The following is a 17,443-nucleotide window of genomic DNA, read 5'->3' as shown; positions in this document are numbered from 1 at the left end:
GGAATATTTGCATAATAGTTTTTATTAAAATAATAGAATTATAGAACCAGGATACTGTATCTACACTTGTGCTGTTCACTCTTTCAGAACTTCGAGAAACCAAGACCTCTGAATACTTCAGCCTTTCCCACCATCCTTTAGACTACAGGATTTTATTAATGGATGAAGATCAGGACCGGATATATGTGGGAAGCAAAGATCACATTCTTTCCCTGAATATTAACAATATAAGTCAAGAAGCTTTGAGTGTAAGTTTATCACTTTCACGAGGACAGTGTCCACCTTTTCAATGTCTCTTTTTTAAAAAAAATAAATAAGTAAAAAATAATATGCATTTTATTAGAACAATAGAAAATACTGGTCCCATGTTACTATGAAAGTTAGTACTTATTTCATGGACTGAAAAGGTATTAAGTTCAGTTCTCATCGTCTAGTTCCATAGTTTTTAACAATTCAAAACCTGGAGCTAACTGAAAAAATACTACCTGTGTATAAATATATAAAGAAAAAAGGGATTATAGGGTAGTGCATGAAAGAAATGGTCAGAGAAAAGGAAGATCTACTTTGTCATCTCTGTGTAACCAGTGAAGGGCCTGAAAGGAAAACAGCTATTAAATACGCTGTTACTTGATCCAGTATGGCCTATATTTATCATTCCATTTCACAAGGAAATAAAATTGAGCTTCACTGTAGTGAAAAAAATACATGTAGATTAATTATAAATTTATTACAACAAGGAGACTTCTGCATTTGCAGAAGTGTTAACACAGGCAATGGACTGACAACTAAAAAAAATTAATGATTATTGCCAAACTGGACCCAAGGCTGCAACTACTTAGAGTACTAGCACAGTATTTCAGAGAGAGGGAATCTCTTGGTTTTCATCCAAGTTATTTTAGCTATTGAAGTACCCAGGGGCCCATCTTATGTAAATCTACTAGCCTGGTTGTGTGATTTACCAAAAATAATACTAACTGAGAAAGATATGTAAGTGTAGATTTATTGTCATATAAGCAGTTGGGAAAAGTGTACTATGTCAAAAGGAGTGAAAAATTGTATTGTTCACATTTATGTTAATAATGATCTTATTTTAATATACAATTAGTAAATGAACATATGTTATTGAAAAGCATTTGTGAAAGGAAACACTGTTGGAAGAAATAAAAATAATTGTAATTGTTAAAATAATAGAATCTTTATTAATGAATTGATAAAAAAGAAAGAATTTTAAAGTCTTAGTGTAAGATCACCTTAAATAAATCTGTTAACAAAAAGTAAATGAAGAGCACTGGGCTGTCATATGTCCAGGTGAGATTATGCAACCTTTATTTTTCTTTCTGAGCAGGTTTTCTGGCCAGCATCTACAATCAAAGTTGAAGAATGCAAAATGGCTGGCAAAGATCCCACAGTAAGTGTTAAAAAAAAAAAAAAAAAAAAAAACACTAACTTAAATATTTGGTTTTCGAATCCATGTACTTTGAGGGAAGCCAAAAATGAGACAAGGATGGTGGTGTTTTAAATTTTTGCTGGACACAGGCTAAAAACCTAAACCTTGAGGAGACTGGAACTCTTGGGCTCTCTGTAACTTCAGAATTCCTAACTGGGTAAAAATTGCTTGCCTTGCTTTCATTATTTCATTCAGATACATTTCATGATGGATTTCATTAATAACCTCTGTTCCTAGTGGATTCAACCTGCAGAATTCTCAGCAGGCTCCTGAAACGATGATAATGCAAGTGTCTGGAGCAGCTCCCAGATACCCTGTGGGCTTTTCCAAACAAAGATTCTTGGCAAAAGGGTAGTGGTTAGCCAGCAAATTCCATAAATACAAATCACCAGTGATAAATGGTACCTTTGTTAATTAAAAATAGCCACAGAAACAGCAATAGAGGCAGATATAAGTATCAATATATGTTCAGTATGCAATACCTGTGCAAATTGTATTCCTCTAGGTGAGATTCAAAATAATCAAGGAAGAAATCTATATTGATTTCTACAAATGACTTGCTGAAAGTAATACATTGCCATTCTTGAATATTCTAAAACAAATACGTGGAGCAGATCTTTAATGTGTACACGTCATTTAATGTTTATAATGGAGCACATAAGTCATCTCACCATTTTGCCTCAAATAATGAAAATGTAATACAGCCAAGCATCAAAATCACCCTGTCTTTCAAAAATAGTTTGGTAAAGAGGTTCCTTTCTTCATTCATTCCTTCCATTATTTGCTCAATAAATACTGATTCAGCACCTGTTATATATCTAGCATGGAGCTGGTTGCCAAAGACATAATTGGTGCAAAGACAGAAACAGTTCTGACTCCAGTCAACTTTATTACCTTGTTAGAAAAGTCTGCCATAATCAAATGAGCATAGATATACAAACTAATTTAGAAATAAGCTGGAAATATGGTAATTGGGTGGACAGACGAGTCAACACGTACACATACATTCAGGTCTCAGGTCATAACAAGTAATAGACCACCTTAGTGTTAAAAAATGTTGTCTAAGCATTTATTTTGTGGTAGGGTCAAGAGATGCTGATTTCAGGAGTGAAGACTGCCCTGAGTCTTGGAAGTAGAGATGGATCAGACAAGACCGAACATGGGAAAAATACTAATCCTGTGGAAAGTGGAAATATGGGATTGAGGAAATGAAACATTTATTTTCATTGACTCCTAACAGCCCCAGGTGTAAAGTTGCAAAAGTTTTTGGCTCAAGGCAGGGCCATGGAAGACTCTGGAGGGTAGGATCTCTGGCCTTGCTAGAGGGTTCTTGGAGTGATTTATCCAATAAAAAAATTTAAAAGTGGGCAGGAGAAATTTGCAGGGGCATATTTGCTATCCAAGGGATCTGTTAGACCACAATCTTGGGGGAAAAAATCCAGAAAAATGTAGAAGAAACACTTAAACAAATACATTACAATGACATTCCAGGAAACCAATGGTAGAATGAAGTATAATGTTGCAGAGAATGATGTTTTGTTCCTTATTATTTTAATAATTGTGGATGAATTAAACTGTTTTCTTTTATTCTCTAATGAGATTTTTTTCCCATTGATGTGTGTCTGATCATGCCTTGCCTTTTGCCACAATAATATCCCGTGGCTATACTGAATTGCATTGTCCTTTGTTCAAAAGGATTTGCATTTCTCATTCATATGAACTGCCATAGGCAGAATGTGCAGAATTTAGGTACCTTTGTACATTCTATTTCCAAAAATTGCTGCCGAGTTTCTGAAGAATCTTAGACAAGTCATTTGGTTTCTTACTTCCTTTGTCAAAGTAGAAACCCTCTGGGGTTTTTGTTTTGCTTTCTGACAATTAAACGTTATTAGATAAAAATCTTCAATACATGCTGACATTTTCCCATAGTTTTGTCATGCTGTAATTTGTGGATATTTTAAATTCTACTATATGGCCAGTTATACACAAGGGAAATATCTAATGGAGTGCTCTTTCCTATGTATTTTTAGGACTCGGCTGGACAGGTTTTGTTTGTCCATACAACATTGTTGAGTGCTGGGAAATACTAATCAAAAAATACATGTTTGGTCTGTGCAAGAAAAGAATGTCTGACAAATCCATCCCATTTCATACATGTGAAATACTTATAGAAGTGTCCTTTACTTAGGCTATGGGAAAAAAAAGTCCTGTAGCAGAAAAATAATGTGAAATAGATCTTTGAAAGTTGTACAGAACAACCTATCCTTCTTACATTTCTCAATGAAACGACATACTTAAGAACTTCTTAAAAGTTGGAATAAATACTATCTAATAACCTAATATTTTTAAAATACAGGAATTCTTTCAATTTGCACAAATTAGTTGTTGTGAAGAAACTGGAGGTGAATTAGATGGAGTCCTTACATTTAAGTCTTTACAATGTGCTAGATATGGTGAGACATATATACACTGATATTCAGAAAAAATACCCAACATTTAATGGAACACGCCAGGTCCTGTTCTAAGTGCTTTATTTTAATCCTCATAACAATACTGCAAGGTGGACATTATTGTCACCACCTGTATTTCTAAGATAAAATAACTGCATTACTAAGAAAGTGAGAAACTTAAGCTGTGCTGCTGTGAAGTGGGATGGTCTTTGTCTGATTAAGTCACATACAGCTCTGGATTCTGTACCCTTAGCCACTAAAACATGCTATCCCTCCAGAGAGAAAATGATAAATGCTAAGGGACACACACAAAGCACAGCTGGGTTATTTAAGAAAGGTTTGATAGATTTTGTAGTAATCATATTAGAACTTCTGTTAACCTTTTATTTCAATGATACTGAAATTCGAAAAAGTTGTACCCTCTCTCTCTTCCAGCCTTTGGTATGTGCTGCATGCAATTGATTCTCTTTTCCTTCAATTATCTTCCGGTGTTTTCAGCCTGGGAAATATCTACTCACCCCTTCAGGTCACAGTGCATACAAGCACGTGAACTCGTTCCAACTGATTGTCAGGGCTTGCGGGTAGGACACAGTAGATGATGAGTTTATTAATGCTTTTAGATTAATTATGTTTGTAGTGCATTTATTATATATATATTTTAGAAGTATATTTTCATTAAGCTAAAACTTTCTGCTTTTAGCTCTGTTAATCATCTAAGCAAAACATAAAGTGTTAGCAATTAAAATCCATACTGCTATAACAACTGAAAGCAAAAATAAAACAGAGTTAAGCATCCCTTAATCCTTCAGATTTTTTGGTTGTATCAAATTTTAATTGACGTTATAACAAGATAACAATTATAAGAAGAAAATTTAATGTGATTTAAAATTTGGTCTTAGGTAGTAATACAGCATAATTCTGTAATAAACTAACGTTTTTAAAGAAAATAAATTTTCATGGTCGGATTTTCTGCCTTGGCTAAAAAGAATATAACCTACTCCCCATTTCTCTCTCTGCCCCTATGTACTCACATTCCTACATGCTCCATTTATTTCTAAATGTTAATATTTTATTCATACTCTAAATAAATTGAGCTTAAACAATAGCACATGCTGTCAAACATATCCATGAAATAGGGCTTAATGGATGTACTATGTAAATACTATAGGAGACGGTTGAAAAATTAAGTAGGATTATATATATTTAGATATATATACATTACATGCACATGGTGTCAAACTTGATTTATTAATTGTAGAATATCAGTTTCCCTATTTCTGTGACCATACAACCCTAAGCTCCTAAAAAATATATTTTCTTTTTCAAAATACCTTGATTCATTTCCCTAGATCAAGGAGGTATAGACCAAGAAGAAGAAAGTATGAAGTATTTTTGTGTCATTGCAGATTATGGACCATAATGAGTCAATATTTTTAAAGGCCTATTCACCTGTGCTCCAGGATATATTTTTTAAACATCTATTTTTATATTATAAAAGTAATATATTTTCAATACAACAATCTTTGAAGACTTAGAAAAGTACATAGAAAGCAACAGAAAATAAACCATCTCTTATTAGCTCTTCGACCTTGGAGACTTAAACTTTCTGTACATCTTGGTTTTCTTATCTGTGAAATGTGCTAATCCGTAGCACTTAACCTTATTGGGTTGTTAAGAGGATTGATGAGTTAATATTTGCAGAGAGCTTAGAGCAGTGCATAGTACACAGTTAATGCTATATCGCTGTTAAAGAAAGTAAATTGCACTACTGAAACATAATCACTCTTAACAATTTAGGGTATATTCTTCCAGGGTTTTGTTATATAGACATAAATGTGTATAAAAATAGAATTTTATTATATGCTGTATAATGTTAGCAGCTTTATATTTCACTAACATTGTGCCAGGAAATCATTTTGAAAGAGAATTAAACAATGAAAAGAAAGCATGCATCATATTTATTTCCGCTGAAGTCTCTAAGGCTTCATTCATACTCCAAACTTTTTGTGGATTTTTACTGTGGTCAGGACCTGCACTAAGCTCTATGCAGGACAGATGCCCTGACCATTTCACCGGGTTTAGAGACAATGTCAATTTTAAAATGCAAATAAAACAAATCTAATATTGGACAGTTGGATGTGTGTATTATTTTCCAGATATGATTTCTACTGCTTTATTAATATATTGTCCATGACAAGTATTACCATTGCCATTTTAGGAATGCAAAGATTGAAGCATCCAGAGGCCAAGTAACTGTCTTCAGTTCTGAAAGCTAGTAAAAGATGAAGCCAAGGTTTAAACCTAGGTCATCTGGCTCTGAGACCTGCATACTTAAATCTACTCTGTCTTCTCTGCAATATTCTCTATTGCCTATCTGAAGACTATGGTAGGATGGCAGACCAACTGTAATTACCTCTCTGATTTCATCACACAGTTATCCTCTAACCCTTCTAGGCACTAGTCCCCAAGTAAATCCTGCACTCTCATGTCTGTGTTTCTGTTCATGCTGTTTTTTTTTTATTTTTATTTATTTATTTTTATTTATTTATTTTTTTTTGCTGAAATGTTCTTTCCTTATGCTTTTGCCTGTGAAAATCTCTAAATTATTCTGCAAGACTCAGCTCAAATGTCACCTCTACTCAAATCTTTACCCCTAGATCAGCATTACTTAATGCCTTTCTTTCCTTCTACGGTACATTTAAAAATACAGTCCTATTGCAGTATCTACCACAGCCTGATACATTATGCTCTCCTTTCTTTAAAAGCAGGCATTGATTGAGTCTATTCATTCCACTGTTGCTAGTACCATATGTAGTGCCTCGCATAGAATGACTTCAGCACATATTTGCAGGATGGAATTGACACTATTGCAGTAGTCTAGGTCAGAAACGAAGGCAGCACAATGGAAATGGAAAGAACCTGGATAATCATTTTCAATAGTTAACTCAGCTGAATTGTTTTTCCTTTTGTGGTCTTGTGTGTGGGGAGGGGCAGGGAGCACATTGAGCAACAGATAGTGTGGGAATCTGCTCATTGCTAATCAGAATCTTATAGAAAAGCTGCACAGTGGAGAGTGGCCATGGTTCAAGTCCCAGTTTAGTTACTTATTAAAACTAGAACTCTTTATTTAACCTCTCTGGGACTCAAATTTCCTCATCACTAAAATGGAGTATTGATAAATTGGAGCACTGTTATGAGAATTAAGCAATCGACATCAAAGGATTAAGAGCTCTGTGAATATTAATAAATGTTACAAAAACTAAAAAGTTATATCAGTATTAACTTATAAAAACAACTGTGCATCCTGGCTAACATGATGAAACCCCGTCTCTACTAAAAATACAAAAAATTAGCCGGGCGTGGTGGCACATGCCTGTAGTCCCAGCTACTCGGGAGGCTGAGGCAGGAGAATTTCTTGAACCCGGGAAGCGGAGGTTGCAGTGAGCAGAGATCGCACCACTGCACTCCAGCCTGGGTAGCAGAGCGACACTCTGTCGCCCACCCCCCCAAAAAAAAACAACTGTGGACTTCTCGTCCAATGACAAATTATAAAGCAGCTAAAAGTACAGGATTCAATGTTAGAGACGTATGTGTTTGTAAATCTGCTTTAGTTACTACCTATATGGTCTCAAACAGGTTATTTTTTTAAAAAACTCAAGTTTATTTTTCTAAAAGGGACTGAGTTATGGTAAAAACCTGAATGAATATGTGTAAAGTGCCTAAGTAGCATACAGTAAGTGTTAAATAAATGTCAGCTATAAAGGTAAAAATCAAACTTTCTAGAGGTAAAAATAAAAGGTAAAATATACAATATGATTATTTCACAGTCTAGGATGTAATAAACTCTAAATAAATATTAGTCATAATAAGCAGATAGATATATACATGAAATGAGTATAGTTGGCATTTGAAATATAAACGAGATGTTATTGACTTCTTTCATTTTACCAATACCAGTAATTCATGAAAGTACATTGACATCCATAAGACCCAAGATGAGAGAGACATAACCTGTTATTAAAGGAATTGGATTGAATTATTTATATCTTATGGGGAAATATTGTATACAGAATCCCAGAATGACTAAACTTGAATGTGAAAAAAATATGCATGTGTCTCATTCCTCATAGATTCCCTTTACATAGACATATTATAAACACACATATCTCATCTGTGTGTTTTCTTCAGAAACATGTTATCATCTGTAGTTATGTAATCAATTTCCAGGTACCTCTATAAACAGGTGTCAAGATAAAATGACACTGTGTATTTAACAAAAATCCTTAATGTCTTAAAAATAAAGTGTATGGTCTGGTCTATAAGGATTAATTTCTTTGACTAGAGTTAATGATTGATTATTTAATAATAAAAATCTATCATAGAAACATCTGTATAAAATTACTGCATAAATAAAAGTATATATTTGCTGGCAAGTAATAATGAATATAAAAGGAAAAAATGATGGAAAATGTAAAATAATATTGACTTTAATTTTAACTTCTATTTTAGCAACATTTATTTTGTTTTAGTTTTAAATAATATAAATAATAGATATGGTTTATAAAAAAATAGGAGAGGCCAGGCATGGTGGCTCACACCTGTAATCCCAGCACTTTGGGAGGCCGAGGCGGGTGGTTCATGAGGTCAGGAGATCGAGACCATCCTGGCTAACACAGTGAAACCCCGTCTCTACTAAAAATACAAAAAAAAATTAGCTGGGTATGGTGGCACATGCCTGTAATCCCAGCTACTTGGGAGGCTGAGGCAGGAGAATCACTTGAACCCAGGAGGCAGAGGTTGCAGTGAGCTGAGATCACGCCACAGCACACCAGCCTGGGCAACAGAGCAAGACTCTGTCTCTAAAAAAAAAAAAAAAAAAAAGGAGCATACATGGTACCTAGCAGGGGGAAAAGCAACATATATTTTCTGACCACCCAGGGAAAAATTACTGTTAACTTTTGATGTCTTTCTTTATAGTTTTTTATAAAAATGCTGTCTCTAATATACAATCATTTTATTAATGTTCTTTGAGAGAATGACTTCATGAAGTCATTCAATCTCAGGCTTGATTGAATTATAGTCAGCAAAGGATAGTGAAGCTAGTAACTGTGGAACATTTGGTGGTTAATTTGGTCACAGAGATCTGCATCTAGGGCTGACTGTTTCTGTGCTCCAGCAAGGTCACAGTCAATTGAGAATTACAATAATTATTCTGTTTCATTGGGTGAATAAATGACAGCCTTGCCTTTACTTGAACTGGGAGCAAGTGAGAAAGGAGTTTCTACAAGAGAAGAAAGGAGTATTTTAGGAGATCCAGGGCAAAGAGATTGATTATGTCATTCCTCATAGAAGGCAATCATTATGCTGGCATTTTGTTGGAGATTAGTTTTATTTGCCAATTCTTAAGGTGAATAGTGTCTGCCATTGTGCACTAATGGTAATATGGAACTTGTATAGGCACAGGTGCATTCAGAACATGTTTGTATAATGTGTGTGTGTTCAATGTTTTAAGGAAAACTTAAGGAAAAATAACTTCTGTGTGTTAATTTGTAAACTTTCTCAGGTAAAGAATACATTTATAAAGTTTCAGGATGTAAAAATTTAGACAGTGTTGTAATACAAGAATAATGAAATATAGCATTTTACTTACTATCTGCGGTGGATTATATTTCTCTTGAAATAAATCAGTGGAATAAGCCATGTTGTTTTAATATTTCTGGAAACACGTCTTTTAACAATAAAAAAATGGAGCAGAAAGGAAAATGTATAGCAAAGTATTGCCAAATAATATTTGCATTGATATGTATAAATTTGAGAGCATTTTCAAATGAAGTATTAGAATTAGTCCAGATTAAAACAGAAATAGAAAAAGCAGGGCATGTATGACAACTCTGTTCAATTGCATTCTACAAGGGTAGAGATTTTTGTGTTTTTCTCAGTAAGGATGCCCAGAGAATTTGACTATACCCTGGCAAATAGTAGGTAATCAGTAAATGTTTGTTGACTGACTGTTTCTGTAATAATGTTTTGACTATTCCTGAGCCACTGTTTTTCTTAATATTTGATTTGTTACTTCTACAAGTTAGATAAGTACTCTCAAATTACCTTTAAGAGGTGCAAATATACTAATAGTTCCCCAAAGATATGGCCTAATACAAACTTGTCCAACCTGTGGCCCAAGGGCCTCATGCAACCCAGGACAGCTTTGAATGTGGCCCAGCACAAATTCGTAAACTTTTTAAAAACATGAGATTTTTGGGGGGATTTTTATTTTTATTTTTATTTTTTTAGCTCATCAGCTATTGTTAGTGTTAGCGTATTTTATGTGTGGCCCAAGACAATTCTTCTTCCAGTGTGGCCTAGGGAAGCCAAAAGATTGGACGCCCCTGGACTAATACATCAAAAGTTTATGTCACCTCATTGTTACTTATCATACAAGATCTCAGGTTAACATAGCTAACTGAAATAACAATGAAAGTCATTGAGTTACTAACTGCTTATTTACTGATTCTTTTAGCACGGCTGTGGGAACTTTGTCCGTGTAATTCAGACTTTCAATCGCACACATTTGTATGTCTGTGGGAGTGGCGCTTTCAGTCCTGTCTGTACTTACTTGAACAGAGGGAGGAGATCAGAGGTAAGTATAACTATTTAACATTCTTAGTTTTGATATTAGTGTCAAGGATTTTTGAAACTGTATTTTAGAGTAAAAACTTGGACATATCAATATTCATAAAATATTTTCATGCCCTTTAAATACAAACTATATTACATTTTTTCCTGTCTGCCAAGTTACTTGAAGTATCACCTTTTGCCTTCAGCTAAAAAAGTATATATATTTTTATGTGTATTATATGTGTGTGTGTGTGTGTGTGTGTATACTTTTAGTTGGAGGCAACTATATAGTTTTAGTGTATATGTATATATTTTTAGTATATCTATTTTATTTGTAAAGCTGTAAAAGATGAAAGAAAAATGTTATAATTTCAAGATTACTTGAATGTAATACAGTAATAATATTTGCTCCAAATTATAGAAATATTGTAGCATAAACTTAACCTTCTCAAATCTAGTGTAATTTCTTGTCTTTCAAATTCAATAAAATTTTATAAATATATATCTGTAAAAGATGTATAAAGTGGGATGCCAAGTGTCTGCTGAAAAGAACTTGATGTAATTAACAAATCATACTTTTATCTTAGACCAACATCATCCTACATTAGGCTATTCCAGCCTTATTCTTAAATTAGTTAAGGTGATATGCGGCATTATGGTATGATGTTTGCTAAACACTAGTCAAATATATAGCTAATGTATAGTCAAATATGAGGCTGGTTGAACTTCACCTGTGCTACTTAAGCCTGTCTTTGTTATCCCAGTCCACAGCTGTTGACTAAGGAAAGTACATTACACCAAGAGAGTTACTACTCATTCTTTTAGTCAAACATGTTGTTTTACTTAACATAATTATTTTAAAAACTGAATTTTCAAACTTGGTTTGGTTTTATTATGCAACTTAAATATAGAAAGTCCAGTTTTTAAATAATATTTTAATTTGATTTTAGAGATTAGAATTTTGAAAAAAATAAATATGTCTACTGATCTAAAGCTTATTTTCCTTTAACAAGGATTAATCTATTTTAGTTCTAATATGACTGAACAATGTTTTTTTAAGTTGTTTTTCAGACATGTAATTTATACATAAGTATCTTTTAATGAATAAAAAGTCATTTAAAAATAACTAATTATAATTTGACCCCAAAATGAGACATTTTTTAATGTGGTTCAAGATGCTATGAAATATTACAATTCTTACAGGAAAAGTAAAGTTATGCTTTTTGGAAGAATACAGTTGGCTGCATTGAGCTTGTCATTAAAACCACATGCCTGTGATCAATTGATTAAGTAAACTACTGCCTTAGACGTCTGCAATCTGTCAGACACTTCCCTGAAGTCTGTGCAGTCACTGTACAGGCCAACAATAGCATAGCCATTTTCAGAGCACAGATTTCAAATAAAATTATTTTCCCATGTACGAATTGCCCACTATGCACTTCAAAGCTTAATTGGAAATTCTGTCCAAAAAAATAATCTCCTTTGGAAAACCAGCATGGAATACATTTTAATCACTTTGCTAAATATGAACTACTTTAGTCTCACTTCAAAAGATACGTTTCAAAGGAGAAGCAGTTTCATTAATGAATCTCTGAAATAATACGTGAACATCTTAAGAGCCAATTTAGGTATGAACAGGGTTATGATTTTTAAGCTTTATAAAATGTAGTCCTTGATAGTTCACTCTAGTCGGAGAGTTTCACCATAACATCACTTTTATATATTTGTAGTATAAAAGCCATATTGTAAATATAGAACTACACAGTTTAATCAATCTTACAATGGATTTGTTTTCTTTTAGTTTAGGATAAAAGATCTCCTAGCATAAAATGACCACGTGATGCAGAAAGTTTTATTTTGAGAGAATTCTTCTCTATCACTAAGATTGTATTTTGTAATGACCATGGGTGATACTTACTGCTGACCCTCTTGTATTATTATTAAGAGATGACATTTTTCATCTATTCAAACCTAATTTTGAATAGAAGGTGAACCAAGTTAGGTTGGCAGAGTTACTTTAATTATTCAGTTTTATATCTGGGACATTACCTACCATCCTTCATTGGTCTGTGTTCATAGATATTCATTGGTTCTAGGGGAATATTTGATGAGCCTACTTCGTGTTTGGAGCATCACATGCTTTTGTTATACCCCATTTCTCTTCTATTATTTGCGAGACTGATTCAGAGCTTTCTGAGATTTCAACAGTACTCACTCACCTAAAGAGCCTGGAATCCTTGCTACATGAAGACCTAACCACGGTTCTTCTCCTGTGTCTACTATCTTTACTCCTTGTCTTCTGTTCCTGGAAAAAGATAAAGCAATACAAGTGAATCATGACTTTAAATGAATGAATAAAACATCAACAAAAATGGTGATTGGTTAATTTTGCAACAAATTCTTGGAATATTACCACATCTTATCTTTGATTTCATCAGATGTTTTCATAACATCTGTTTCAACACCCAGATACCAATTAAGCTCCCCTGACCCTGACCCTTATCAAGCAGATAACTTTACCTTAGACTGACCAAGAATATCACAGGTGACCAAGAGTGTCATAGGTATCAAAATTATCCCCTATGCTTTTTGAATGAAATTTGCCACCAATCTAGTCTGTTTCAGTATCTTTTTGTAGGATTTTTTCTGTTTCAGAAGAAAAATTATACATTTTCTGTATTAAGTTCTTTGATAAATAACCTTCATCACTCTGTTTTATATCTTCATTCCCTTTCCTCTACATTTACTTTTTTTTTTTTTTTTTTTGCCCATTTAAAGAAAGGATTGGGTTTCTTTCCCTTAAAATCCTTTTTTTGGTTCTGTGACTTCTTTTTTCTAATTTTCTCCTTTCTCTTTTACTTCATTACTAAGCTTCTCAGAGTAGGAGGCTGAATTTCCAGCTTTTGTGCTCCTAATCTCTATGCCTTTATTCATCCTTTCTAATATTTCACTCCTACACATTAACTAAAACTGTTTAATTAATGGCAGATTCCTCAGTGACCAAATTGACTCCCTCATTTTGTATCCCTTCTCCTAGAACGATCTGTGACATTAAATTCCACCATTCATGCTCTGTATTTTTCATTGCCTTTATTGACGTCTGTGACCATAGGACACTTTGCTATGCCTACTTTTTAATTTTTCACCACCTACTCTCTATTATTTTCTCTCATTGTTCAATCCAGAAATATTCATTTAATGAGAATAAAAGCAGAATCAAAATCATGTTGAAGCTACTTTAAAGCTTTAAAGACCTTAAAAGCTTTAAAGGCTACTTATATGTCAACAGAGAAGTAAATTGGAACAATCTTCAGCAGAAAATGGCAGGAACAGAATTGTGTTGTCACTTATGTGTTAGGTAACAGATGATTTGTGGCACGGTGCGTGGGGGGTGGAAAAGTTGTAGGAGATTAGTTTGAGAGTTGACATAGAAGACCACAAAAGAGATCGTTGTACTCAGGTGATAGCAATGGTGACAGAGAGTATAAAATGGTATGAAGTATAAAATAGTATAGATGATGTTGATGGATTTGGATAAGGAAAAGGAAATGATATAAATGCTGACACTTTTCTTGTTTGTTATTTTCAGCCTCTTTAATTGTGTAGTTGCCATGAACTGAGATGAGAATGAAGAGACCATGTATAGGGTAAAGATTATAAGCCTGAGTTTGGTCTGTTGAATGAGAGATCCCATGGAAAGATCCAATTAGTGATATCAAGTAGGCCGTTAAATATAAGACTGAGTATATACACGTGTGAGTCATTGTTTTATAAGAGTAACTGGAGCCCAAGAAAAGTGTGGATTTAATTATGCAGAGAGGGAGTTAGAGTAAAAAGAAAAGAATGACGGTGGTTGAGACTTGAGGGTCTCCTAACTTTAATGGCCAATTAGAGGAACATGAACTTACAAACAAGCCTAAAAAGAACAGGCAGGGCTGGGCGCGGTGGCTCACGCCTGTAATCACAGCACTTAGGGAGGCCGAGGCGGGCAGATCATGACGTCAGGAGATCAAGACCATCCTGGCTAACATGGTGAAATCCCATCTCTACTAAAAATACAAAAAATTAGCTGGGCGTGGTGGCAGGTACCTGTAGTCCCAGCTACTTGGGAGGCTGGCAGGAGAATGGCGTGAACCCGGGAGGCGGAGCTCGCCAGTGAGCTGAGATCGTGGCCACTGAACTCCAGCCTGGGCGACAGAGCGAGACTCTGTCTTAAATAAAAAAAAAAAGAAAAAAGAAAAAAAAAAGGAACAGAGAAAGAGGGGTGGGGAAAAAAAGACTATGTTGGTTCTGGGAAATAAAAATAAGTCATTGTAAAAACATAGAAGTTTTCAACTATTCCAAGCGCCATTGAGAATCCAAGTAAAATGAGGTCTAAAAAATAAGCACTGAGTTTTGTACCATAATTGTCATTAAAGATCTTATCAATAAGTGTTTCAATGCAATAATTGACGTTAGACGCTGAATTAAAGTGGATTGAAAATAAAATGACAAGTCAGAAAATGGTGGTGAGGATGTACGTAATTCCCTGAGAAGTGTGGTTTATAAGGAGAATGGTATATGGGAGCTGAAGGGGTTGTTTAAATAATGGCATAAAGCCTCCAATTATTAAGATGAAAGTATGTATCAAAGAAACACAAGGAATAATGGAAATCTAAGGTGCCTAAAAAGACGAGATAAGATGAAATCCAAAGCAATGAAATCCAAAGAATTGGCCTCAAAGTAAGAGAACTAGTCTCATGTATTAGTGGATATATCAATATAATATTACATTACTAAATATGATATTTGTGTGTTTAGTAGTGAGGAGTTGAAGATATATCATTTAAGGGCTTTGCTTTCTCTGCAAAGTAGCAATAATGTGAGTTGAGAATAAGTTAGGGGATCAGAAAAATCAGGATTTGGCTTTAGTGGCAAAGGCCTGAAATTTTTGATGACAGAACCAGTTGTGATAAGAGAATCTTTGAAAGGCCACTGTACATTGTAGGGGATCCACTTGTGGTTGGTGATCACAAATCTGTAATGTATTGAATTTACTTTTTTAGGTTGCCTTCTACAAAATGTTTAGTAGTTTGGAGGCAAGTATGGAGAATGTAGATAGATGTATTCCTTTAGGGTGTGGATGCAATGAAAAAAGTCATACATTCAAGGAATCGAATGTTGTGTCAAAATTTATTGAAATTAAAAAATTTATTGAAATTAAAAATGGAATCTGGCCAGGCACAGTGGCTCATGTCTGTAATCCCAGCACTTTGGGAGGCCAAGGCGGGCAGATCACTTGAGCCCAGGGGTTTTAGACCAGCCCGGGGAACATGGCGAAAGCCCCGTCTCTATTAAAAAAAAAAAAAAAAAAAAAAAATACAAAAAATAGCCAGGCGTGGTGGTGCTTCCCTGTAGTCCTAGCCACTCCAGAGCCTGAGGCATGAGAATCGCTTGAACCTGGGATGTGGAGGTTGCCGTAAGCCGAGATCGCACCACTGCACTTCAGCCCAGGTGACAGAGCTAGACCCTGTCTTTAAAAGACAAACAAACAACAACAACAACAAAAACATGCAATCAAAGTCAAAAAGAGAAAAGCCTAACGAACTGGGGAGAAACAGAGAAGATTTCTCAGGAGACAAGTTTTAGGAATTATTTCAGGGTGCTTGAGATAGTTATTAGGTAGACCACATCTGCTCCTGGTGGGGGTGATCTAGATCTAGAGTGCTGTGCAATGTAGGAGTAGGTCAGTTGAGAGCAAATGGTACCTAAACAACCTTACCAATTCCTGCAAGACGAACTCTCACTTATTTGGTCAAATCAGTCTCCAGCTCTAGAACCGCAACAAGGCTTACTATTTTTTTTGTTGTTTGTTTTTCTTCTGGTTTATGATTATTGATTTAGTTTAGTGGTTACATGAATGAAGATCTTTTGGAAATCGGATTCACTAGGAGTCAGGAGACTGAATTCAAATTGTGCTATTATCAGCCTTTAACTACGTGGTCTTCTGGACAAGTCATATTTTTTCATCACCTGTAGAGTGACTTCATTGATGAAGATCTTAGGATGCTCAGAAAGAACCTTTTTAGGCTGGAGGACTGTGATTCTTTTTAGGCTCTATTATTCTCTATTATGTTTAGGGAGGTCCTGCAGTAGTATAGAAACTCAAACAACTATGTATTAGCTTTATTTTTTCAAGGAGTCAAAACTTTAGAATCATCTTTGTTTTCCTGAGTATGATCAATTAGAAATTGGTTGTGATTGATTATCACAAATATATAGTTGTTTGGATTTACCTTTTTAGGTTACCTTTTACAAAACAGTAGTTTGGAGGCATGTACAGAGAATGTAATAGATGTATCCTTTCAGGATGTGGAGGCAATGTGAAAAGGACAACAAGTACAATGAAATTAGAACCACTGAATTATAACTGATGCCCACCTCTGTTGATTGCGACTATATAAATTTTCTTACATCTCTGCTGCTCTTACCTTGACCACTGAAAACATGCCATGTCAGATTATTACCTCCTAATCTCTGGACTCTTGTAATAGGAAACTAACCAATTTTCCTGAATGCAGTGCCTGTTTTTATACATTTCATTCCCAATCTCCTTAAAGCTCAAGATAAAGTCCAACTTTCTAGGGCAAGGTTTTGATCTTTCCATTTCCACACTCAAAAATATTATTGACTTCATATTTCTTTCAGGATAACTTTCAAAAATCTTAGCTTGATAATTAAGATTCCTTATCATCTTATTTGACCTTATTAAAATGGTCATTTTTTTTTTACTTTGAATTTTGGTAGGGGGCTTGTACTAACTTTATGTAAGAAAAAGGTACATATTTATACTGACAAGATATTTCTTCTTGGTGAGGCTAAAACCATTGAATCTATTGCCCCCAATCTATAGTCTTCTCTCTTCCCTTTTCCTGCTTAACTTTCCTTCTCA

The 17,443-nt window shown here is 34.4% G+C and overlaps 1 protein-coding gene across 3 annotated transcripts in view; it reads left to right on the top strand.

The window, feature by feature from the left end:
- The window catches only part of SEMA3C (semaphorin 3C), a 179,852-nt gene that overhangs the window by 93,557 nt on the left and 68,852 nt on the right, over positions 1-17,443 (top strand). For all 3 annotated transcript variants that reach the window (NM_001350120.2, NM_006379.5, NM_001350121.2), the window contains 3 exons: positions 88-248; positions 1,346-1,408; positions 10,415-10,534. In NM_001350120.2, the coding sequence (NP_001337049.1) occupies positions 88-248; positions 1,346-1,408; positions 10,415-10,534 (344 nt within the window). The remainder of the gene's footprint in view (positions 1-87; positions 249-1,345; positions 1,409-10,414; positions 10,535-17,443) is intronic.

The sequence above is a fragment of the Homo sapiens genome, chromosome 7 (genome assembly GCF_000001405.40).
Source record: "Homo sapiens chromosome 7, GRCh38.p14 Primary Assembly".
NCBI classification, from domain to species: domain Eukaryota; kingdom Metazoa; phylum Chordata; class Mammalia; order Primates; family Hominidae; genus Homo; species Homo sapiens.
Note: the sequence above shows the minus strand (reverse complement) of the source record. Positions and strands in the feature narration are given on the sequence as shown.